The sequence below is a fragment of the Homo sapiens genome, chromosome 2, assembly GCF_000001405.40.
Source record: "Homo sapiens chromosome 2, GRCh38.p14 Primary Assembly".
NCBI lineage: Eukaryota > Metazoa > Chordata > Mammalia > Primates > Hominidae > Homo > Homo sapiens.
In genome coordinates this window covers 8,735,659-8,761,870 of record NC_000002.12, presented here as the reverse complement: position 1 = coordinate 8,761,870, position 26,212 = coordinate 8,735,659, and the positions used below count along the sequence as shown (strand labels likewise).

General features: G+C 36.3%; 1 protein-coding gene and 1 pseudogene across 16 annotated transcripts in view; both read left to right on the top strand.

Annotated features, from left to right (window-relative positions):
• KIDINS220 (kinase D interacting substrate 220) overlaps nt 1-26,212 on the top strand; it is a 116,533-nt gene that overhangs the window by 75,743 nt on the left and 14,578 nt on the right. For 9 of the 16 annotated variants that reach the window (NR_145965.2, NM_001348741.2, NM_001348739.2 and 6 more), the window contains 3 exons: nt 10,227-10,405; nt 11,536-11,759; nt 24,872-25,003. Coding sequence is in view for 14 of the 16 variants with exons in the window: in NM_001348741.2 (NP_001335670.1) it covers nt 10,227-10,405; nt 11,536-11,759; nt 24,872-25,003 (535 nt within the window). In the remaining 2 variants the exon portion in view is untranslated. Of the gene's footprint in view, nt 1-4,083; nt 4,674-10,226; nt 10,406-11,535; nt 11,760-13,870; nt 13,985-14,669; nt 14,727-24,871; nt 25,004-26,212 lie in introns of those variants that run through there. The other 7 variants (NR_145964.2, NM_020738.4, NM_001348729.2 and 4 more) reach the window with 3 other exon arrangements.
• Nucleotides 4,005-4,963, top strand: LOC100216337 (ARF like GTPase 1 pseudogene; annotated as a pseudogene).

The following is a 26,212-nucleotide window of genomic DNA, read 5'->3' as shown; positions in this document are numbered from 1 at the left end:
TGATTTGTAACAAAAATGCTAGCTAATTCAAATGCTAAGAAAATGTCTAGCTGCTGGTGTAAAACCATGCTGCAGAAGTGGCTCCTGTTAGCAATATTCAAAAAGTCCACAAGATGGGAGCATTTCACTACAAACATTATTAGCATGTTTGGCCAAAAATAAGATGTAATACATTTTGCTTTCCCCTTCCATAGAAAAACAAGTCAGAATTTAATGAAAGGTTGAATTTCCTTTTTTGTTGTTGTTAAAAAAAAAAATGGCTTCAGGACATTTTTCAGCACTGAGAATCACGATCCTAGGCAAATGAATGGGTATCTATTCATATGACATAGTTTTTAAGTGTTGTACTACTTTTGTCTCCTCAAATTAGTTTAAATTAACTTTTGGGAAAATAGTGGCTATGAAAAAAGAGGAGCATAAAGAAATCGATCTGCTTACAAATTTGCATTTAGATATAAAAATATTAAATCCTAAACATTGTAGAACTTCAGTTCTATACTTTTTAAACATTAAATCTTTTAAGAGAACTTGCATAATAAAGATTTTGCCTTAATCTGAAACATATTCATAGATCTACTTTGAGTTCAGAGCCTCCTTTCTCTATGCCTGTCATTCAGTTTTATTATCAAACATTTGCGTTCTATATATGATTAATGTAATACACTTTTAGATTTCTTAAAGACGACAATTGCATGGACAATTCATCACTTGGTAGCAACTTATGATATTGCTAGTGATGCCTAAAACAGCTATGAAAATTTGATCTCATGTACTTTTGTCGGAACATTTTAAAATATCAAGTATAAACTCTTGATGCCAAAAAGCAGGCTTTGCTTTTTAATGATAGACACTATTTTCACATGGAGTCAGTTATGAATTATTTTGCCTCTCTTACCACTTTACTAAAGTCTTCTCTCATTACCCTAGCTGAAAGTATTGCTTTGTCACCTGAATTACTAATATCTGATTACTTGCATGGTTGTAACTGGGTAAATATCATGCAGTAATACACTATTTTTTAGACTTGTACTCCCAGTGGAAGCCTGTCTCCAGATCTTATGCAAAAGTCCAATAAATGAAGCAGAATTAATACAAGTTTATTGATTCAAATTATAACATTTCCTAACAAATTCAGTTAGTGAGAAAAATGAGCTATTCTGAAGAATATTAAAATTGGAGAATTGTGGACAACTGTTACAATCCTAAATTGGTTTAAACATTTATTTATTTCTCTAATTAGTTTTGGGACTGTAACATTAAGAAAGTCCTAAATCATGAGTAGACAGAAATGTTACCGGTGTTTAAACTTTCTTTGTGATGACAGGATGTTTTCATTTAATCTGATCTAGAAACTTGAAAGATTGATTGGGAATATTGTTTTATAGGTGAATCACCAATAGTATCTTGGAGTTGTTCACATTTCTTATAATTATTTGAAGTGTTCTCTGCTTCTCTGACTAGGTGAAAGTCATGTCATGCAATTTTTAAATCATTTTTACAGTCTTTGCTCAGGCTTCTAGGCTGTTGTGTAGTGTACTGGTTTGCATAATTTTGTAAACAAAAAAGTGCTGATCTGGATTCTGAAAAAATGATGAAGGAAATTAAATATGTGCATGAAGATGGAGGAGAAGCTTTATTTCAGTCTGCAAAAAACTGAAACTAAAAGAAAAACCCAGGATGACTTATGAGCACAGCTTATTTGTTGATCTTCTTCAATTTGTTAAAATGTAATATGTAACAGCATTCTTTTCTATTATAGTTTTAAGGAGTTAAAAACGTGTAAGTCATTACCTGAGGGATTTTGAGCCATGTCTGTGGCTCCTGTTTGAACTGGTGCAGTGAGCAGTCAGCAGCTTTTGAAGCAGTCAGGAGCAGGTACCCGCTCTGCTGCTATGTCTGTGGTGGTGTTGCATCCATTGCTTACCTCTCTGAGCCTCAGTTTCCTCATGTTAAAAATGGAAATAATAAATACCTTATGGGATGCAGAGAGAGAAGTTAGATAAACTAGGTAAAGCACCTGCCTCAGAGAATGGCAGACAGTAGGTATTCAGCCACTTCGTTCTTCTTAAAATTCCCTCTCAATTCTTCATAACTTTTAAATATAGTTTCCCTGTTAGAGTTTATATAAGAAGAGGGATACAGAGCCCCTAAATGTACCTTCCTCAGAACATTCGACGTCGTAGACATGAATGAAGACAGTGCCTTACCAGTATTGTACTTGAACCTAGGCAGATACCCCTTTTGAGTTTTTATCTTTTACCCTCCCTGGTTGTTGATTGTTTTTTCATCCATCTAGTTGCCAGAATTGCAGCCTTAAAGCCAAAGAGAGTTTTTGTATATGATGACATTCTACTGAGTTTAAGGGTTTTTTTAATCCTTTAAATTACATGCGTACAAGTTTCCTTCCTTCATATAAAAACATAATCTTGGGCCCTGATGTTCTGGCCAAATAGGTCATCTTGGAGATATACACCCTCGGTGGGAAATAGTTTTTGTTTAATGTCGAGTAAACTCTTCTAGTAAGTGAAATAATAACTTTGTTTAGCTCTGCCAATGGTTTCCAGGGCAGCTTATACAAGTGCTTTTATGGTTTGCACTATTTAACCCTAATCACACCGTCCTTAAACACATAAGTCAAACACATTAGATACTTGCAAATGTCTTCTTTTAAACCAGAAATAGACAAACACACTTGAAGAAGGCATGCCATGATGATCTATTTGGCCTGCAGAATATATAAGCACTTCGTTGTTTCCTAGTGTAGTTACTCAATAAGATGCCTAAAATGCAAACTTACTTTTGTAGACCTTGAAAAGTGAGTGTCAGTGAGAACACCTGGCACTGTTCGCATTGTTGTCTTGAGAATATTCTGTGACCACCACACGAGCATAGATGCCTCTTTTCTCTTCTGGCAAGTTCTTTTCTCTGTTGAGAGTTGTTGTGTACTTAATGCAGTCTTCTGCATGTGGACAGCTTCAGCTCTTAGTACTTTTATTACTTTGGCTGTGGCAGACAAAGTGTCTACTTTCTGACCCCCTAAGCTAATGTTCTTTCCAACATGGTAGGAAAGGTGACTCATGGAATAGTTATGAAAATACTTTTACAAGAATATTAGGAATGATTAAAACTTATGGGATGCAGCAAAGGCAGTACTCAGAGGGAAATTTATGGCTGTAAATGCGTACATTAAAAAAAGAGAAAGATATTAAATTAACACCCTAACCTAACACCTCGAGGAGCTAGAAAAAGAAGAGCAAATTAAACTCCAAGCTAGCAGAAGGAAGGAAATAATAAAGGTTAGAGTGGAGAGACATAAAACAGAGAACAGAATAACAATAGAAAAAAAGCAATGAAACCAGAAGTATTTTCCTTGAAAATACCAGCAAATTGACAGATCCAGTGTGGAAGTCCAGGCTCAGAGGCAGATCCAAAGGCCAAGGTGAGCAGAGGTGCCTCGAGTTGGAGTTGCTGCTGAGACCAGGATCTGTTCCTGAGGATTGGTGAGGGTGAACAGGGCTTAATCATGGTAGATTTTTCTCAAGTATTTTTTCCAGTGTGTTTGGAACCTGGGAAGTGAGGATTTTAATTTGGGGATTACATAGACAGGAAAAACCACAATTTTATGCAGATTACAGGTTGGAAAAGTCATTACTAACATTCCTATCATCAGATTTAATGTTGAGACGGCAACTTATAAAAGCCATACAGGGCTGGGCGCAGTGGCTCACGCCTGTAATCCCAGTACTTTAGCAGGCCGATGCAGGCAGATCACCTGAGGTCAGGAGTTCGAGACCAGCCTGGCCAGCATGGTGAAACCTCGTCTCTACTAAAAATACAAAAATTAGCCAGGCGTGGTGGCTGGTGCCTGCACTCCCAGCTACTCAGGAGGCTGAGGCAGGAGAATTGCTTGATCCCAGGAGGCAGGGGTTGCAGTGAGCCGAGATTGCACCACTGCACTCCAGCCTGGGCAACAAGAGTGAAACTCCATCTTAAAAACAAAACCAACAAAGAAAACATACAGAATTCCAAGTCCAGGATTTAGGAGGACAGAGCCATACTGAAGATGTTATTATTCAAACACAGATGCTGTGGAGCAGACAGTTGTGACCGAGACCGAATTGGCATTTCCAAGTCAGTGTTAGTTGCCATGTTGATGGAGAGCTGAGAAAAGCCATTTTAATGGCATTTGCAAATAAGCAGGACATGGAACAGGCCATGACTCCCTCAGAGATGCACATTCACTTGGGTTATCTGCCTCGAAGGACTGAAAATGGCAAATATTCAAAACTTCAGCAACCAGAGGTACTGGCCTTCATGAGACAACGGAATGGGTAGTTGAAACATTAAAGAGCAAACAACAGTACAGTCACTTCTGCTCCTCTGAAATGAAGACGGCCTCACATATCCCTTTGGAAACAATCAAGTGTGCTTCTCATGACTAAAGGTTAAAGCTGTAAGACTGTTGGCATTTACTGAACTGACTGTGACATTAGTAATAAATATAAAAAATAGATATTTAGTTGAAAGGGTAATTCATCTTGATTGAGCCAATTGTGTTCTATGTTGTAGGACATGCTGCTTCCCTGCTTTCTTAATGTTAAGTACACATTCCATTTGTATGGGATTTTTATTCAAATAGTCCTATTAAAGTATGCACTTTTGTTGGGAAAAAACAAACCCTATTTTTTGAACTAATGGTTGCATCTTGTTTGTATAAACACTAGTAAATATCTTAACTCTTTTTTTTTTCCTAAAATGAATTTGCAAAGATTGGACTAAATAGAATAGACTAGGAAATAGTGTGGGTAGCATAGTCTTCATTTTCTTAATTGATCACTTTATATTAAGCTGTTTTGTTTAAAAGCTTTTGGATGTAGGCCTGACATTGAGATCATCATTTTAGTGGTTAACTTTACTGACTTATCTGCAGCTAACATCGTACTCCGTGGTGAAAGACTGAAATTATCCCTCCTAAGTTAAAAGAACAAGACAAGGATGCCTGCTGCTATGTACGAATGTTTGTGTCCTGCCAAAATTTTCGTGTTGAAGCCCAAACCCCCAGTATGATATTATTTAGAGTTGGTGCCTTTGGTAATTAGGTTTAGATGAGGTCATGAGGGTGGAATCCTCGTATGGGATTAGTGCCCTCCTAAGAAGAAACCAGAGAGCTTCTCTCTCTCTCTCTGTAGTGTCCTTGATGTCAGGACCTAGGAAGAAGATCATTTGCAAACCAAAAAGAAGGCCCTTACCAGAACCTGACCATCTGGCACTTTGATCTCTGACTTCCAGCCTCCAGAACTTCAAGAAATAAATGTCTGCTATTTAAGCCACCCAGCCTATGGTATTCTGTTATAGCAGCCTGAGTTAACTAAGATACCCACTTTCACCACTGCTATTCAACATTGCACTAGAAGCTGTAGCCATTGCAATTGGACAGGCAAAATAAATAAAAGAATCCAGATTGGATGATTCTTCTATATATAGAAAAATCCCAAAGAGCCCACAGAAAGCTATTAGAGCTAATTAATCAGCAAAGTTTGCAGGATACAGATCAACACACAAAAATCAGTTGTGTTTCTGTACACCTTCAGTGAACAGTCTGAAAGGAAATTAAGAAGGCAGTTCATTTTACAGTAGCATCTAAAAGAATAAAATATTTCAGAATAACTTTAACCAAGAAAGTTAAAGACTTGTACACTGACAACTTAAAAAAATTGCTAAAAGAATTTAAAGAAGATCTAAATAAGTGGGAAGACATCCTGTGCTCATGGGTAGGAAGACTAAATATTAGGATGTCAATACTACCTGAAGTGATCTACAGATTCAATATTATACCTATCAAAATTCCAGTAGCCTTGTTTTGCAGAAACAGGAAACTGATCCTTCAGTTCATATGCAATTGCAAGACACCTCAAATAACCAAGCAACCTTGAAAAAGAAGAACAAAGTTGGAGGACTGACACCTCTCAATTTCAGACATACTACAAAGCTACAGTAATCAAAACAATGTGTCACAGGCATGAGGATGGACATATAGAGCAATAGAATATAATTGAGAATCAAGAAAAACCCATACATCTATGTCCAGTTGGGTTTTGGCAAGGATGCCAAGTCCATTTGATGGGGGAAAGGACAGACTCTTCAACAAGTGGGGCTGGGATAACTAGATTTCCACATGCAAAAGAATGAAGTTGGACCCCTACCCCACACCATGTACAAAATTGACTCCAGATGGATCAACCTATGCTTTCCCAAGCACAAGGTTTTGTCAGTATCAGAAAGGACAATTAAGGTGAAAATTATTCTATTTTAAAGGGGTAGAGTTCTTGAGGAAGAACACCTTTGTGTGCATGTGTAGTTTATTCCTTCTACAAATATTTATTGGACAACAGTGTTGCGACAGTATTCTGTGCAGGCCACTGGAGATACAGTGGTGGAAAAAACTAAACTTGTTCCCAGTTTTAATGGAATTTCCAGTCTAGATTGGGAGATAAACATTAAGAAAGTAATTCCACTAGTGCAGAATTATGATACATATTATGCAAGAAAGTATATATGCTCTGGGGGCTTGTAATGAAGGAACATAAGTTGGTCTCCAGGATGCTCTCTGAGGAGGGGGAAATTGCACCGAGCACAAAGGATGGGTAGGAATTAACAGGGTGAAGATGGAAGGGTGTAGCCAGCTCCTGAGGTATCCAGGGCTTTTGCCTTTTCACAGATGGCAGTGGGTGTATAAATGGACTCCATTTTTTCTTTGTTTCTGACTTTTTGGCTGCAATGCCAAGTGGCTGTTTTCTGTCTGTGTGTTCTGTCTGTCTCCCAGAATCTCCAAAGTGTTCTGTTCATGGATGGTATTTAATAAATGGACATTCACTGGTAGAAAGTATTTGAGAGTCTATTAGAAGTTAAATTTGTTTCAAGGCAATAAAATTCTAAGGCATTTAAGAGTTTTCTCTGTTTAAATTTTTAAACAAATTGTGTCTTATTTTTTAACATCCTACTAAATAATGACATTATTAGGCAGCTACTTTTAGATAAAATGTGATAAATAATACTTTCTTCATAAATTCTGCTCTAAGAATCTGTTTATATTTTGATTTAAAATAGAAATCTTTTATGTAATTTAAAACCTCATTTTGAATGGAAGTGATATGAATAGTTTATGCAATTTCTGCCAAGGAATTAATATGGACTTTGTATAAACCACTGTCATTTATAATCAAAATGCTTTTAACTTACATTGATGTTGGCATTAACAAGTATTGCTAGATTGGTAGCATAGAAGGAAATTGCATTTAGACTTACTAGGAGCTCATTGATGCCTGAGGTTTTATAATGCTTTCTTTGGGCCATTTAACTGCTGGCAACTTTAATTCACATGATTCATAATGCTGGAAATTCAAATTCACTCTTAACTGAAAAGTGAAGTTACTTAAATTCTTTAAATGCTAACCTTTGGAAAAATATCTGAAAAATAAAGGCACATATGATTTTGATGGCCCACTGCCAAAAGATTATCATTTACATAAATATCTCTTTCAGCAGAAGAGTTTAATGTATTGAGCTCAGAAGGTTAGAATAGAGACTTCAATCTGGAAGCCAGCAGTAGCCTGTTGGCTTGTGAACAGCAGCATTGTTCATCATACTGAGAACACTGTTGCATTCAGGCAGAAGCAGAGCTGGCATTAAAATGCAGTTAATTTGTTTCATGTGACTTGTCAGCTGTGTGTTTTTATCTAAATCTTTCTAGCTTCTCTTTTTAGTATTTTGTGTTCAACTCCTGCAATAGATGAACTACCTATTTAACTGTTTAAGCTCTGATTTTATCACCACTTGCAACCATTCTCCAGGTTTTCCATTTCATTTTAAATATATTTAATAATCAGTTTGAACACGATTTTAATGTATTAAAAGTAACCCCATCTCAGAGGGCTTTTCTGTCTTGTGCATGTGTCTGTGTCTGTAAAACGGACTTTCTGAAGTTAATTAAGAGAAAATTGCTACCCTTATTTTCTCCCCAGCACCCTATTCTCTTCTTGTTTGCTAATTGTGTTCTCTGGGTTTTTCCCTTAGATGACTTTCAATATTTGGCTACTAGCCAAGTATTGGGTCTGAGCAGTAAAGTGCTAGTCCCAAAGAAATGATATAACTGTTACTAACATTAGAATAAGGTTCCCATTTCACTTTTTGAAGGGCGTGAAAATCTTACTGCTCCTCTGCAACTGTGCTCACTTAGTATAATCTAACAGTTAATATTCTTGTTTAATTGGAAGGATATATCCAGTGATTTTTAAACAACTTTTGGAGGTGTAATTGACATACAATAAACTGCCATATTTAAATTGACCAATCTCACGAGTTTGATAAATGTATATACCCACAAAGTCATTACCACAATCAAGAGAGTAAATGTTTCCATCAGTTCTAAAATTTTCCACGTCTTCCTTTGATACCCTCCCTTGTCTCCCTCCTGCCTCACATTCCTAACTTCACAGCAAACCTTGCTCTGCATTGATACTTTAGATTGGTTTGCATTTTCTAGTTTTATACAAATGAAAACATATTGCTATACACTCTTTATTGGTTGGATTAATTTATTGAGAGATTCATCCATGTTCTTTGTATCAGTAGTTCATTTTTTTTTTGGCTGAGTAGTATTCCGTTGTGTGGATATACCACTATTTATTTATCCTTCCATCTGTTAGTGGACATTTGATTTGTTTCTAGTTTTCTCATCTACCTCTTGTCTTTTAACTTCTCTTTCTTTTTCTTTCCTTTATCCCTCGGTGATGCGTTCTTGCTTACTGCCTTAGATCAGGAATTGTCAACATTTGACCATTTTTGACCTACAAAAACTACAGTTTCATACAGTAGTGTTTAATAAGTGTTTTTAATTGAATATTACTTATTTTTACATTCAAGAGTCTCTGCATGATACAGAATTGTTTACATATTGCTTGAACTCAGTTATACAAAACATTCTGCATAATAAAAGACTAAGTGACATATTATATTAGGAGGTATTGTGTCTGATTGGTTAAAGTATGTTTTTTCCTGTCTGTTTTTCTATCTTACGTATATACATATATAGTAAGCATATATTACTTTTACAATAGGAAACAAAACCCTTTTTAAAAAAGGAAAAACTTAGCTTTTTTTTAATCTGTGTAATTTATTTATAAGTTCTTGATTTCTTGTTTTCTTTGCAAAGGAGAAACTGTGGTATTCTATTTAAAACATGGGTTTCAGAACCAGTCAGATTTGCTTTCGTAGTTGTGTGACTTTGGGCCATCTGTTTAATTTGTCTGAGGCCACTGTCCTCATCTGTAAAGCAATAACTCAATGAATCTTCATTGAGGGGTGACCCTTAGCCAGCTTAGGTGACCCCGAGCATATGACACACCTGTGCATGTGCGTCTTTCCTTCTGTTTTCCCACCCAAGTCCTGCCATGGCCAAAGGCAGTAGAATTCTGGCCGTACTCATTGTTACCTTTTTTTGTAACCATACTACTTTTTTGAGTTTCTTTCTCTTTTATTAAAAAAAAAAATTTTTAGACTGGATGAGGTGGCTCATGCCTGTAATCCCAATAGGGAGGCCAAGGTGAATGGAATGCTTGAGCCCAGGTGTTCAAGAGCCTCCTGGGCAACATGGCGAAATCTCGTCTGTATAGAAAAATACAAAAATTAGCCAGGCATGGTGGCATGAGCCTGTAGTCTTAGCTACCCTGGAGGCTGAGGTGGGAGGAAAGCTTGAGTTGGGAGGCAGAGGTTGCAATGAGCCAAGACTGCACCACTGCACTCCAGCCTGGGTGGCAGAACAAGATTCTGTCTCAAAAAAAACCCTAAAAATTAAAAATAGATTTTTTGGCTGGGCATGATGGCTCACACCTGTAATCCCAGCACTTTGGGAGACTGAGGTGGGTGGATCAACTTAGATCAGGAGTTCGAGACCAGCCTGGCCAACATGGTGAAACCCCGTCTCTACTAATAATACAAAAATTAGCTGGGCATGGTAGTGCACACCTGTAACCTCAGCCACTAGGTAGGCTGAGGCAGGAGAATCGCTTGAACCTGGAGGCAGAGGTTGCAGTGAGCCGATGTGTAATTAGACCAAATCCATCAGACCAAGATGTGTAATTGTTGTATAAGTAACTTCAGGTGACATGCAGAATTTACCTTTCTAATAGTGACATTAATAACCTTTTTCATTGATTTCTTATTTGAAGAATATCAAAGAATATTCCAACAACTAAGGATGTTGAGCCACTTCTTGAAATTGATGGAGATATAAGAAATTTTGAAGTGTTTTTGTCTTCAAGGACCCCAGTTCTTGTGGCTCGAGATGTAAAAGTCTTTTTGCCATGCACTGTAAACCTAGATCCCAAACTACGGGAAATTATTGCAGGTGGGTATTAGTAGTAAATTTAATTTTTCATCTAAAGTTCTAAGAATTTTTCATGTTTCTAACTTATTTGTGTACATTTCTCCTGCTCTATGAAAAACCAAGAGGTATTGAACTAAGCACTACACAGAAAAATTCATGAAATTAAAGATTAGGAGTCTTGGCATCCTTTTGAGAATGTTAAGAAAAACAAAAACAAAAAAAAAAAAAAAGAAAATCCTGTTAGTATTTGTGGATCTCACTTTATTATGATCCCTGTCCCCACCCCTCCCGCCCCCACCCAAGTCCTTCCTTTGGAACTTTGGAATTGGATTTCTTTTAACATACAGTCATGACTTCATGATATCCATTCATTGTAATTTGCTTGTCACCAGTCTTTGGTTCTTAACAGGGATCTCTATCCAGAGAAGTAAGAAAATCTTTATATTACTTTTCAGATATTAACTTAAATCTGGGGACTAGAGCTTCAGGGTAGTGACATTAAGGCTTTGGAATAAATGAAGTTCTGGAGGTACCACTCTGTGCACGTGCACACACATAAAACCTTCATTGAAACAGTCTTTTGTATGACATGGCTCTGCTGACCTGCCTTTGAGTTTTCCAGGAACTGTGAGGAGATCGCCTTAAACTACTTCTGTATTCTATTTTCTAGGTACCTGTTACAAGGCTGATGTCAAAGGGTATTACATGGCTGTGGAATTTGTTGTTGTTCAGAGGTGGATGAGTCTCATAATTTGCAAACCCACAGTCTTTGCTAACATTATATGTGTTAATACCCAACAAATATGAGTTATTAATACTTGATAACGTTATGAATAAAAGTAATTGTTAGAATATCTTAAATCCTTTAAGAGTTAGAGAAGAGTCAATTGTTCCAATAACTGAAGAGAAGAATCCAGATATTGGTGACTTCGAATGGTGAAAATGCTTTTTTGCAAAGTAGCTGGGCATTTCTCACTAAAAGGCCTGTGAGTTTTCAAGATTTTCTGTCTTCTTTTTTAATCTAGTTGGAATCCGTGGCAAGAGTGATAAAGTCATGTTTCTGCCTAGTAACTAAAGAAGAATGTGATAATTGGACTGATTCCTAATGTCCTGTTTTCTCTTGCCTTCTGGGGTCTGATTGAATCTTTCAGATGTTCGTGCTGCCAGAGAGCAGATCAGTATTGGAGGACTGGCGTACCCCCCGCTCCCTCTACATGAGGGTCCTCCTAGGGCGCCATCAGGGTACAGCCAGCCCCCATCCGTGTGCTCTTCCACGTCCTTCAATGGGCCCTTCGCAGGTGGAGTGGTGTCACCACAGCCTCACAGCAGCTATTACAGCGGCATGACGGGCCCTCAGCATCCCTTCTACAACAGGGTAAGGAAGTTGGAGGCAGCTTTATTTTTAAGAATTTGTTACAGGGAAACCTCAGTTTTCTGCTTGTGGATTCTGTTTTGGTTTTAAAGCTGTACTTTGGCTTTAGCATAGGAAAAATGTAAAGTTTGAATGTAAAATATAGGACTTTTTGGAAATCAAAATAATTTAGAATTTTAATGTGTTCTAGGTCTCAAGAGAGTCTGAATATTAGATTTTTTTTTCTTTTATTTAGTTTCTTGATAAGTAAATGGACTCCACAGGGTCAGCAGTGACTGTCCTAGCTTCAAAGGAATCTGTTTTTTGTTTGTTTATAAACAAATGTTCTATTTGTTATATCTTGTATAATAGTTTATATTGGCATTTAAAACAATGATAAACTTAAATTCCTATAGTAGTTTAGTAAACCTATACTTAATATACCTTTGTCTTTTAAATGTGAGATAATAATGGGAAAGTACTGCTGTGGAACTCAGATGTTTTTCCAAATAATAGCACTGTAGCCCATTTTTAGAGTCTTATGTCAAGTTATCTTCAGTCATCTACAATTTTTTAGTTAATATAAATAGGATAATTTCCCAGATGAAAAGATGAAATGCAACTAATTATCAGTGGTATTCAGGCCCTGTCAAGTTTAGTAGGCCCAAGCTATATTCTCACTTTAATGACCTCAAACACTAATATTTCCTGTAGGAAAATGGAGCATGAACCTGGGGTTACACTTTCTGGAACTGTTCTCTTAAGGTGCATTGCAATTTCTTATTTTTGCTATCTCCCTCTTTAGTCTAATTCGAGAAAACATAGGACCTAGTTAGTCATAGAAGCCTAGTGCCTAAACTGCCTGTGTAAATACATCTCATATGAGCTGGGAAGAAAGAGAATTTAGGATAAATGTGACAAAGAAAGGATTCTAGAATTTAAACTTTCAGTTTTTGAAAAATGGTGGCCATATAAGTAATTAGGTACTGTTTAAAGAGTCCCGAGAAATGTTACTCCGTTTTTCTATTTGGACAAGGAGACAAAGGTGGAATAATAGCATTTTATCATGTATTCCATCTTTTAAAATTTAACTGTGTGGTAGGCAGTGTGAAATGCAGGTTTTTATTTACCAGTCTTAAAATCTGCTGTGTAAGTTTGCATAAAATAGCTCCGTTGATACCAACTGAAAATTTGAAACTGAGAAGCTTATTTTAAAAAATGAAAGATTACCTTACCATCTAGCCTGAAATACTATGTTCACTAATTTCATGAATAACAATAATGTAATCATGCTTTTTAATAGTATTTTATCATTTTTAAAAACATTTACAGTTTTCTCTTGTTTTTAAATCTAGCTACTTTTTGCTGTAGTTATTTGAGATTTTTTAGTGTTAAAAGCAGAATAATTCCTCTAAGCTGGCAGGAGTAAAAAGGGTGGGGAAGGTTTCACCTCAGTGTAACAAAACCTTATGAACTGCAGTCTTTATGTTTAGCCTGTATAATTTGATATCTTCTGTTTATATGAAGCTGGTTACAAATGTATGCCATTGTTATAAATCTCACATAAACAGTGGATTCCCCACGTTTTTTAAAAAAAATATGCTTGCTTATTTAGGTTATAAACTCTAGGGTGTAAACTAGAGGTGAACTCCAGGAACTTGTAATAACATTATTCTTGGAATTTGTGCCAGGGTGTTTTCATATATTCCAGACTTTTTGGTCTTATTTAGGCTAATCTTTTTTTATTGGTAAGGAATAGTATTAAGATTCCAGTCTGCTTCTTTTAAAAAGATTATGAGTTAATATTGGTTAAACTGCTTAGAACCTGACAGATGGTAAGCTTGTAAACATATTAAATATAGAGAGAAACTCGTGTCAAACTGTAAAGTGCAAAACTTTAGTTGCTCATTTTTCTGAAAAAAGCTTATATGAAATGACCAATATAAAAATGTAAGTAATATTTCTTAAGTTTGAGTTTAGCATCTTATGGAATATGAGTGAGGCTTTTTTTTCTTTTGTTTTGTCATTTGCATTAAAGTTTTGGAGTTGTATCTTATTGGTTTCATTTGAAAAATCTCATTACACTTTCATTTCTGTAATTGTTTACCCCTTTTTTGTTACATGTTTTTCCATAGCCATTCTTTGCCCCATACCTTTACACGCCAAGGTATTACCCTGGCGGCTCCCAACATCTCATCTCACGTCCATCAGTAAAAACGAGTTTGCCCAGAGATCAGAACAATGGCCTAGTAAGTATATAAAAGGGTAACGCAAATATTAATTTAATAATAAACATAGATAGCATTTGAGGTTTGGTTATTTCCTTTACATAGTAAAAGAGTGCAACTGATTTTATACATAGTTTTAAGAAACAACCTATTACTAACATAAAATGTATTTATTTTCATTTCTGGTAAATATCTATGGAAGGAAAATGACTAGCAGTCTCAGCGAAGAAATGTTGACTTGTTTATAGCCAGAAATTTCTGGCTTGTAATATAGTGTTTGCTACCAAAACTTTTAAAACTAAGCCTTTACATTTGGTAATTTCTAATATCTTCTTAAAGAACATGTGTATACAGTACCTTTATAGTATGTAAATATTAGCACCATGATATAAAAAATAGAGGATGTATTGAAGGAAGAACATTTCAATCAAATGGCAGGAATTAAACAAGATAAGGGAAATTCTTCCAATGAACTATTGAATCTAAGAAAGACATTTGTGCCCAAAATATTAGAGGTTCCTGATGATAAAAGTAATAGTTTAAAAAAAGAAACTCTCTATTAATATGTTTTTATAAATCAGGAGGCAAAAACATAAACTGTTGAGTTTCAGTGTTGTATATTATTTTACCATCATGTTCATTTGTCTTCACAGTTTGGCTCCCCCCTTCCCCTTTTCACCCACACTCTCCTGTTTTGTGTTGTTAGGAAGTTATCAAGGAGGATGCTGCTGAGGGGCTTTCTTCACCCACAGACTCCTCGAGGGTAATGGAGTAGTCCTGTGGTGTGGATCGCTGGCATCTCATTGCTTCTGCCTCAGTAATGACTGTCTTAATTGTGATGATAGCAGCTCACTAACTCTGCGTTTGTGGTGTGATGAGCAGCTAGTGTAGAGTAGCTGAATGCTAATAATTATGGTTCCTGAATTAATTAAAAAGCGGATGTTTAACTTCACCCATTATTTCCTCCTGCTTTTCCCCTTTTTCAATACATGGGATGGGGTTTTTTTTTATTCTTCAATAAGGAAGGGCTTTTTCTATCAGCTGTCAGGGGTGTTCCGTTGGTAGTATTTGCTCCTCAGTGTGAGCTCTAGCTTTGCCTTTGACTGTTTTTGTTAAGCCTGTGGTTGCTATTACACATGTGGAATATTTTAGAAAAGTATCCAGTATCACCCTTGAGACTACAAAAAGACACATAAGCTAGATGGTGTAGACTAAAAATGCATCTTTAATAACTCAATCTAGGTGTCTACATTTAGTTAAGTCTTAGTCTGAGTTTTAGTGCAGTGTTATAATACTTTTCTTTGTCTATATATTTGTTAAAATAAATTTTCCAGATAAACAGAAGATCGTTCAGCATGTAAAAGAAATTATTTATTTATTTATTTATTTTTTGCCAACACCTTAAGGTAGGTTTCTTTAAAAAAAAAAAACAAAAAGAAAAAAACAAAAAATAAACAGAAAAACCTTGTAGAGGGAATCACCTCATAAATTACTATGTAAGTGGCCAGGCGCGGTGGTTCACACCTGTAATCCCAGCACTTTGGGAGGCCGAGGTGGGCGGATCACTTGAAGTCAGGAGTTCAAGACCAGCCTGGCCAACATGGTGAAACCCTATCTCTACTAAAGAAAATACGAGAATTAGCCAGGCATGGTGGTAGGCACCTGTAATCCCAGCTACTTGGGAGGCCGAGGCAGGAGAATCGCTTGAGCCTGGGAGGTGGAGGTTGCAGTGAGCCGAGATCGCACCGCTGCACTCCAGCCTCGGCAACAAGAGCGAGACTCGGTCTCAAAAAAAAAAAAAAAATTACTGTATAAGACTTCGTACTTAATAAGAAATAAGTTTGTGAGGAGCTTTAAAATCTTCATTTAGAGCCTGGGCGACAGAGCAAGACTCCGTCTCAAAAAAAAAAAAAAGAACCCAGTTTGTATTTTAACTTTGGTTGTTTTATTTACAGACTATGTTACACCCATGTAATATGGTCAGTTTAGCCTATAGCTGTGTTGAAATGTGGCATAGCAGTTAGAATTAACATGGTGAAATATTACTAAGTTTATCTGTAATTTTTAACTTAAAACTTGCATTTTAGCAGGCAATAGGTTGTTTTTCTTTTGACGGAGTTTCGCTCTTTTGCTCAGGCTGGAGTGCAGTGATGCCATCTCAGCTCACTGCAACCTCAGCCTTCTGGTTTCAAGCGATTCTCCTGCCTCAGCCTCCTGAGTAGCTGGGATTACAGGCTCCCACCACCATGCCTGGCTAATTTTTGTGTTTTTGTAGTAGCGATGGGGTTTCACCATGTTGGCCAGGCTGGTCTCGAACTCCTGACCTTGTGATCTGCCCGTCTTGGCCTCCCAAAGTGCTGGGATTACAGGTGTGAGCCACCGTGCCTGGCCAGCAGTAGCTTTTTAACTTTAATTTCCTTTGAGTTAATGTTAATAGGAGAGAAAAAGAGAACCGTTGTGGTGCTTTCGTTGAGAGGTTGATGATTATTTTAAAGTCATTTTAACATTTCAGCTGAAGTGTTTCAGTGACTTCAGTTATCCACAGTAAACCACAATAATTCTCTTCAGTGCTTACAGGATCTTTAATCCATGGGTCATCATCACTATATGCAAGAATGACCTTTAGTTTAGTCAGAGAGCCTTTAACATACACATTATTGCATGCAATTCAATTCTCTGAGCTAAAATTCCTGAGCAAAGTTTTGAAGAAAATCAGATACTGTGAAGAAGTTAATGGCCTTAATGACACAGACATGCTGACATAGTAGCTATTCCCATGCTCAAGAATGTAGACAAATACATGTCATTAAAAGGTGTCTGTAGTTTCTTTTAGGGACCAGTAAAGGAGCATTAGGCAAATTTTGAAATGAGTTTTTGGAGAAGGGGAAATCGTGTGATTCTTGAGATGTGTTTAGAAGCTCAACAAAGGTGCTCTGCATATATTAGTGACTTTGTCTAGTAGAATAACCATATCATTTGCTTTTATTTTACTATGAAAAGATCATTTTATGATTAGCATAACAAATAATAGATGCTTACTAAGCTTCCTTTGCTTTTAAGAAATTAACAACGACAATAGAATGTAAAATTTGTTTTGTCGAAGCCTAGAAAAACTAAGTAGTCACTTAGTTCAATGCCAAATTGAAAGCTGTGGTGGAAGGTAAAGAATCAGAACATGGGAACATTGCCAGAACTTTGTAGCTGGACCAACAGAGAGTACCTAGCAGAAAAGTATGTGTAGCCCATCGAGCTCTGTAGCAGAAAACTCTGTGTTTCTGGACAACGGGATTTCCCATTGGTCCCATCTCTGCTCAGTCAGCCGTCTCTATACAAAGCCTGCAGAAGAGTCAAGAACTACACAAACGTTTTTGGACAAATTGTCATGTCACAAGGTAATGTGTTAAAAAAGCCAGGCCATAAGGGGTTAACCAGCTATGGTCTTTTCAAAATAGAGATGATCCCATATATATATATATATATATATATATATATATATATATATATATTATATATATATATTTTTTTTTTTTTTTTTTTTTTTTTTGCCATGAGGAACATCTGAATCACCTTTATAAATTAGATCCTTATAAAAATCATTGAGTTTTCTCACATTAAGGAACACTGTAGTGCTTATAGCTTGTGATGTCCAGGGAGGGACTTGTCAGATAAATTATAGATATATCCAAGTGTTTCACAGAAGTGAGGTTTTATATAAATTAATAATATATAATATAAATAATATATATTATAAAATAATTATATTAATATATAACATATTTATATTATAAAATATATAATATATTAATGATATAGTAATATAAAAGATGTTAATATAAAATATATTAATATATTAATAAAACAAATCCTCACTTCTGTGAAACAGTTGGATATATCTATAAGCCTCCATGCTAGCTTTTTAAAAATAATTGTATAATAGAGAAAAAATATATGCCAAATCTTGTGAAACCAGGTTAAAAAATTAGTACTATATGCAAGACATGCTTCCCAGAATATTAGGGCTAGAAAGGAACAGTGTTTTTCAAAGTTCCAAAGCATAGAAGCTTTTAGAAATGAACTCTTAATCAAAACTCCAGTTTGTAAAACCAATAAAAGCAGAATCCTGGAACCCACATTACACATGCCTTTCCTCTTGAGGGTCCCCCAGGAGTGCTAGTCTCCACATGGCACAGATAGAATGTGTGAGACTTACCTGAGGGACACAGGAAAGGGGTGCCAGATTTGGAACTAGAATGCAGGAGACCATGGCGCTCACCACCATGCTGGTGGCTCTGCCCCGTTCGTCCTGAACACGACTTAGTCAGGTATTTGGTCTTTTGAGTTAAACAGACCCTGGTGATGAGCTCTTTGCCTTGGACAGATTACTTTACCCCTCTGATTCTCAGCTTTCTCACTGGGAAAAGCAGACCTGCCTCAGGTCTGATTCAAGGATTAGTCAGCCTTAGCATACTTTAAGTACTTCATTATTATTATTACTACTGCTACTACTGCCCAAAGGCCAGAATCCGTGGAGCCTTAAAGACGCAGAACTCAAACTGTTTTTGGTTAAATCATCTTTGTCTCAGTCATGGGAGTGGTGTACAAATACTCCAATCAGTTTAGATTCATGCAGCCTTTTTATCTGTTGATGCTTCTTAGCCCTAAAGTTGTTAATCGGTTTGTTTTCTTAGAATTTAGAGGAATTTCTAGGTTATTTGAATACTTTAGATACTTTAAAATTTTGAAAGCTTTCCAGGGATGTTTTCACTGGTGCCTTTACCTTCTTTGAGTCCAGTTCCCACTAGGAAATGGCAGCATTCACATGATTCTGTGACCCCAGTGAAGCAAAGGACCTAGTATTGAGGCCCTGTGTCTGGCCAGGTCTCCTCAGTGGCATGTTGTTCTGTCATCTCAAAGAGTTGCTCTCGAAGCTCTGTAGTTTGGCTTAATTTAAGGTATGCTGCTCCTGGTGGTAACTGTGTTTCATTGAAAAGCACATTTTCAAAGGAGCAATAAAGCATTTCTTCATCCTTTCATTTTTCCCTGAATTATTTTACATTGAGTACCACCGATGCTTGTGTGATCAGCGATTAGTTCAACGAATATTTATTGAGTGTAAGAGGCGCTATTCTAGTGGGACACAGCAGTGAAGAAAACTGATGAAAATCTTGCTTCACAGAGTGTGGACCTGAAGGCCACCGAGGGAATTATCGGTTTTATGAAGTCATTCTTTCTTGACCTCCTCAGCTACAGGGTTTACTCGTTACCTTTGGACAGCTTTATTTAGATCACTTTTATAACTTGTTGAAAAAGCATGACAATAATTAGCACAAAGTTTAATCATAAAGAATTTCAGAACTGCAAAGGCAGTGTTAACACAGCTCCAGTGTGCTGTTACCTTTACCTTTAGATGTTGATGAAAACTATTGAATGAAGATATTAAAACTGAAAGTCTTGGTTTTCATTAAACAGGGTCCAGTCAGTGGAGTGACCAAGTAAAAAGTGAAAACAAGTCCCCATGGGATGGCCCATGCAGTAAGCCTGCACTTAGGAAGGCTGAGGCAGGAGGATGACTTGAGCCCACAAGTTCAAGACCAGCCTAGGCAACATAGCAAGACCATTTCTTTAAAAAAAAAAAAAAAAATTAGCCAGGCAGGGCATGGTAGCGCACACCTGAAGTCCCCCTACTTGAGAGGCTGAGGTGAGAGGATCAGTTGAGTGCCAAGATCACAGCACTGCACCCCAGCGTGGTGACAGAGCAGACCTTGTCTCAAAAAAAAAAGTGGGGCTCACCTGTGGACAATTTTTATTTTCACCACTGGTTTAGAACTTAAGCTGTCTCTCATTGTTCAGGAGAAGACGTGGACAAGAAAGTTAAAGGTGCCATAGGTAGGGAGTCGAAGGCGTTTTAGGTTGTGTTTAGGCTTCAGGCTCAGGACAGGTCCTCCCTGTCAGCTCTCAGCGACTTTGCACAGTAGCCTCAACCAGCTTTAACACCATTCACACTTTTTAAAGTGTCTTAGAAGTGGATTTGTACTATTCTGTTTGAATTTGGAAAAGTATTTACTCATTTTTGCCTCTTATTAAAGTATAGTGAAAAATTGTCTTCACTTCCCGCTTGAAAGTCTTTGTGCCAGACTTCAACTCAAGAAAACTTTTTTCCTAAACAATTTTCAACTAAATTGATTGGGATATTTTCACAGAAATAATATTACAGTAATGTTATGAAATCCTAGAGTACAGTTAAAAGTTTAAAAACAACAAAATTATGTTCATTGCAGTAGTTTAGTACTTGTGTTTTTATTTTGTTTTGTTTCATTTTGGTTTTTTTGAGACAGAGTCTCGCTCTGTCACCCAGGCTGGAGTACAATGGCACAATCTTGGCTTACTGCAACCTCCACCTCCTGGATTCAAGTGATTCTCCTGCCTCAGCCTTCCGAGTAGCTGGGACCCAGGCGTGCACCACCGCACAGTGAAAAATTAGCCCAGCTAATTTTTGTACTTTCAGTAGAAACAGTGTTTAGCCATGTTGGCCAGGCTGGTCTTGAACTCCTGACCTCAAGTCATCCACCACTGTGGCCTCCCAAAGTGTTGGGATTACAGGTGTGAGCCACCACACCCTGCCAGTACTTGTGTTTTTTAAAAGATTGCTCTTAAAATGTAGTGTTATGCCTAATTTGTCAGCTTTGACCTAGTATTTCTTAAGTAGCTTGAAGAGTAAGTTATATTTTCCAATCAGGTGAATAATAGCTTTCTTTTGTGTTTTGGATGTCTTGTAGTAAACTGTAATTTCCTTAGCACTCCTATTTTGGTATTTTTGCAAATCTCTACAGACAGCTTTTTAAAAACCTATTTATAATAAGGTCGATAGTGTAAACTAGAAAACAGGATTTCCACGAAGTGCCCCAGATATTGAATATGTTAAAAGAAAGACATCAAACGTCAGGCTAGCAAAAACCCTGCCATTTAATATACTAAAACAGTGTTGTAAATTAACTTTGGTACAAATTGCCAGTCATCTCTAGATCATTTTAAGCATTTTAAGAATATTTATTATCAATCTAAGTACAGAAGAATAACTGCCAGCAGTGATTATTTGCTTTGGATTAGAGTTTTTAAAAATCCACCTCACTGAAATGGTTATGTTCATCACAGTTTGCAAGGTTTGTCTGTTTCTCGAGCTAGAAGCCTCTTGGGGCCATTCTTATGAAATGGTATTTAGTGCATCTATTATGTGCCACATACCCAAAGAAGCAAAACTCAAATTTGAAAGTGTATTTCTGAACATGACCTACAGTGTGGCTAGATATTTTATGATCATGTGATAGTCTAAGTAACTAAGCCTTCTTATTCAATGTTTTTAAATTAATGTTAAACTTGCATATATTACGAATATTGACTTTTCATAGCCAATCTGATGTACCTCATTTTCTTATTAAATGTATGGCTCATGATTTATTCTTTCAATACAAAAAATATAATTTTTTTTAGGAGTATAATTGTAAGATGACCAAGCACATGTGAATGGAATGCAGCTACTGTGGTTGGGGGTGTGTGTGCATGCATGTGTGCTCCTTGCTGTGTGCTGTTGTCCGTGGTCCGTTCAGAGTGAGGAGGAAATAGGAATGATGAAGCTCTGCCTGTGTATGTTAGACATTTATAGTTGTGCATCGGATGTGTTACTTTATGCTCTTGTCCTTCACTGTGTTTTATTCCTTCCTTAAAGCTGTGTGACTCTGGGTTTAACAAACAGAGACAGGTACAGAAACTCTCAATGAAATCTTACTTTTCTTATTAGACTACTAGAAGCAATCATTGGCAACTTCATGCTGGGCTGTCTATAAATCTGTGCTCACTAAGGTGCGTTCGGTTTATTAGTTGCTTCCAGCCATTGCATGGCACTCATTTCTGGCTAATCAGTTTTGTGCTTATTTAATAAATTTACCAAAGATGATAATGTGTCAGAGTGTAGTTCTAATCTACTTACAATACACAGTGATATAGTTACCTCAGGGTAATTTCAGTATTTTGATAGCTTTACTTTTACCTGGAGAAATTCTGATCTGTGTAAATTTTGTAGTTTATTTTTAACAGTTTAAACACACTAATATCTTCTGCATTCAGCTTTCTGATTCATAAAAAAATTTTAACAAATTCTGATGTTAAAATCAATACGCTAAAATGGTCTCTTCTTGACTTAGATAATTTCAATAAGAATGCATGATAAACATTAAAGTATTATTTGAACTAGTCTGTGTATTCTCAAAGTAATATGCTTATTTTCTAGTAAGAATTTACCTACTGAATTATTGAATATGCTTTTTGCCCTTTCCTTATCATTTTTGCACTCTTTCTCCTCCCTTTTATGAGATTTCCACCCCCAAATTATTATTTTGGTTATAAGATTCATGTGGTTTCAAAATAATTTTCTTATGTATGATTATTTTAGAAAAGGTCTAGCAGGTAATTACCATTTCTTCTTTATTCAAAGAAGCATATTATAACATATTTTCATTAATTGATAATTTAGCTCTTGTATAAAGCCCAACTTATAATAAGGGTCAGACTATAGTTTTGATGGAATTACAAAGATCTTAATGTCCCTATGTGTCTGTCTTTTCTTAAAAAGCTTTTAAAAGTAATTCAGAGGTAACATATATATTCTACATAATCCCCAATGAAGGATAAAATATGCTTGAAAGTAACTGATAAATTGTAGAAGTTGTAAAAAGATTGTGAAAGTAACATTGGGTAGAGCTTTTTGCTTTAAAGGAAAAGGGCGGTGTCTTTATTGACATGTCTCTGTTGCTGAATTCTCAGCTTCTCCATAGACATAAAATTCTCCTCAGTATTTTACATTTTTCCCTCCAAAGCTGACAGGATTAATTTGATCCGTGTCTATTATACTTGTCGTTTTTAGCACAATCGGAAGTAGAGAGATTTCGGGATTTTTGAAATAAATTTTTTACTTTAAAATAATTTTAACCCTAAAGAAAAGATGCAAAAAATGCTATTCTGTCAATGTAAACATCTTTCATAACTGTAGTATAATAATCAAAAGCAAAAATTAAAATTGGCATAATACTATTAACTAAACTACAGACTTTATATGAATTTCACCAGCTTTTCCACAAATGTCATTTTTCTGGTCCAGGATTCAATTCAGTTGCATTTTATTTCTCCTTAGTCTGTTTTAATCTGTGACAGTTTCTTGGTCTTTCCTTATCTTTCATGACCTTAATTAACACTTTTAAGGAATACTGGTTAGTTATTTTGTAGAACGTCCCTCAATTTGGGTTTGTCTGATGTTTCCTCGTGATTACAAGGGGACTGTATATTGCTAGAAAACTGCAGGAGTGATGCTATGCCCTTCCCAGTGCATCAGAGTTGAAGGTTCTTGATGTCCATAAGCCTTCCCACCACTAATGCTAACCTTGGTCACTTGGTTAAGGTGGCATCTGCCAGGTTTCAGCCTGTAAAGTTTTATTGTTCCTTCTATAACTAGTGAATATCTTGGAGGAGATACTTTGAAACTCTGCAAATATCCCGTTTCTGCTTATACTTTTGCCCATTAATTTTCACTTCCGTCTGTGGATCATGTGTGCACTCACTGTTACTATGTTTGCCTAATGGTCATTTTCTGCTTTCCTGTTCTACATTTATTAATTGGAATTCTGTAAAGAAAAGCTGTCTCTGCTTCCTAATTAATTCACTTTTTTCAATTATTTAGTTATATTACTATGGACTCATGGAAATTTATTTTATCTATGAGGCATAATCCAGTAAGATCATTAGTTATTTTGTTGATTAAACTATTTTTTTGTGATTTTTTTGAACAACAAAAAATGTAAACAATTGTAACTGTATCCAGAGCAAGGAGACTGGTTGAGGAATAAAAGCATTTGAAAGATAGAAAAGATAAATATGACTCAGCAATAAGAAGAAATGAAGGACTGGCATGTTATGACATGGTGGACCTTGAAAACATTATGTTAAGTGAAAGAAGTTGGAAAAAGGAAAATAGGAAGTTATAAGACCTGATAAGTTACAGTTCTGGTTCAGGTTTACTACTAACTAGTTATTTGTTCTGTGACTTTAAAGTCCTGATTTTGACCAGGCTGATGCACCCTCTAAACCACAATGAGCACATCTGTGCTGGGAAGATGCATTTATCATTGACCACGGACAACTGGTTTGTTAGTATCCACATTCCGAAAATGTTTTTCTTCTAAATAAATACTAGACTTTTTAATTATTTTGACTTTCCTTTTAAATGAGAACAAATTTTAATAGATGGTATTTACTTTCACATGTGTTAAGAATTAATACTGTTGTTTTGTATTTACATCATGATTTAACAGATGCTAAAGGAAGTTTTAGATCCCTTGGATACAATATGATGAAGATCTGAAAACTTCAGCTCTTGTAACCATTGAGGTAGTCTGTAGAAACACTCAAAGTTGCTTAATTGTCTAGTATAGGTACTTTAAAATTATTTTGTAGGTTTATTTTTTGTATTCATATAATATTGGCATCAGTAGTTTTCCATCTTTTTGCGTGTGTGTTTTTTTTAACCTCTCTTCTTCCTCTTATTAAGCACGGCACCCTTCTCTCTTGAGATTAGGCAGTAAACATTTGAGAAGTTGACCTAGGCTTTGTTCATGAAATGTTCTGTTTTCTTAGAAAAAATGGTTTTGACCAGGCTGTATCAGCTGTAATAAAAGCTACTCATTAGGTTATAACAGTAACTAAATCTGTTCCCTAATGGTATTTCCTTACCATGCTAAACATATTTGTTTTTTTTTACTTTACTTCATGGTATAACTTAATGAGTTTTTCTCTGTCACATGACCTCATTATAGATGGCATTAAATGCTTATTCATACCTGTATTTTTCCTTGACTTCTCTAGGGGTCAGGCCCAGCCCCAGGCCCAGTGGTATTACTGAATTCACTGAATGTGGATGCAGTATGTGAGAAGCTGAAACAAATAGAAGGGCTGGACCAGAGTATGCTGCCTCAGTATTGTACCACGATCAAAAAGGTGAGGCAGCCACTTACACACGGACCAGAGACAGCGCTGGGGGCGGAAGACAGGACTGTGTGGGTCGTGTAAACTTTATGTATAGCTTCCCAAACATGCATTCCCTGTTAAAATGGGAAAGCTCTAAATGGAAAACATAATTCTTACTAGTTTGTATTCTAAAATTGCCCTGTTTTCTCTTATTTTATAAATGGATAAAATAAAATAAAGTAGCTGTCTTACCATGTTCTTTTTTAAATGACGTAATACAAGTAAAGAATGCCTTGATGAGAAAGAGAAAGCTCTGAGGGATTCCCATTGGGATAAACAGAACTCATCTTTCCAGTGTGGAACCGAAAACCTTTGTGTTACATTTTTTTCTAATTGTAATATTTGTTAGTGTGATTTAGTGATTATCAAAGTAAGCCACACTTGCCTCATTTTCTCCAAATTCTCATTTTCATGTCATGTAGGACTTAGGATCATGTCACATTTGATGAAACCACATAGGTTTGGGTTTGCAAGGTTAATGCATTTGCATAGTTTTTTTTTCTTCTAAGATCCTATTGCAATTCTAGCAGCTATCAGGAAGTTGGCTAGAGATGCCTGAGATTTGGGGGAAGGTTTTAACGAAGTCTTTATAGTAGGTATTTCACTAAGGTATACTTTTTATATCAGAGTACTGTGTAATAAAGTAGAACGTTAATAACCAGCCTCTAATATTTATATACTTGAAAGAATGACATCTGAGAGAAGTTTTTTAAAGAATTATGAGCATATGTAGACACCATTTTACTCATCTCAGCCAATTTTAGAAAGGTTTCAGATAATGTCAGTTTCCTTACAGAGCTGGCTCGTGCTAGTCCCTGTTTGCATGAGTCAAACACCGGCTTTTCCATGGATAAGCCCCACTTTCTCCTTCAGGCAGCTGGTTGGTGTCAGGAAAGAGCGGGGTCTCCCACACGAGTCCTTTGTGATGATTTTGTTCCCATCGGGGTAGTGGTTTTCTCCCCACTCAGCTCTTTGCTCCTAGACCCCGGCTTTCTGAAGCCCCTCAGAGCCGCTGGCCTCCTCCGTGCTTAGGGCTCCGCGGCATTGTTGCAGCAGGACCTCTGTCACAGACTTGCTGTGTATACTGTTTTCTTCAGGATTAACTTGGAAACTGAACATTCTATTGATTATAAACATAGCTATTTCATAAATTTGCCCCAGTTAATAAAGTCAGGTTTT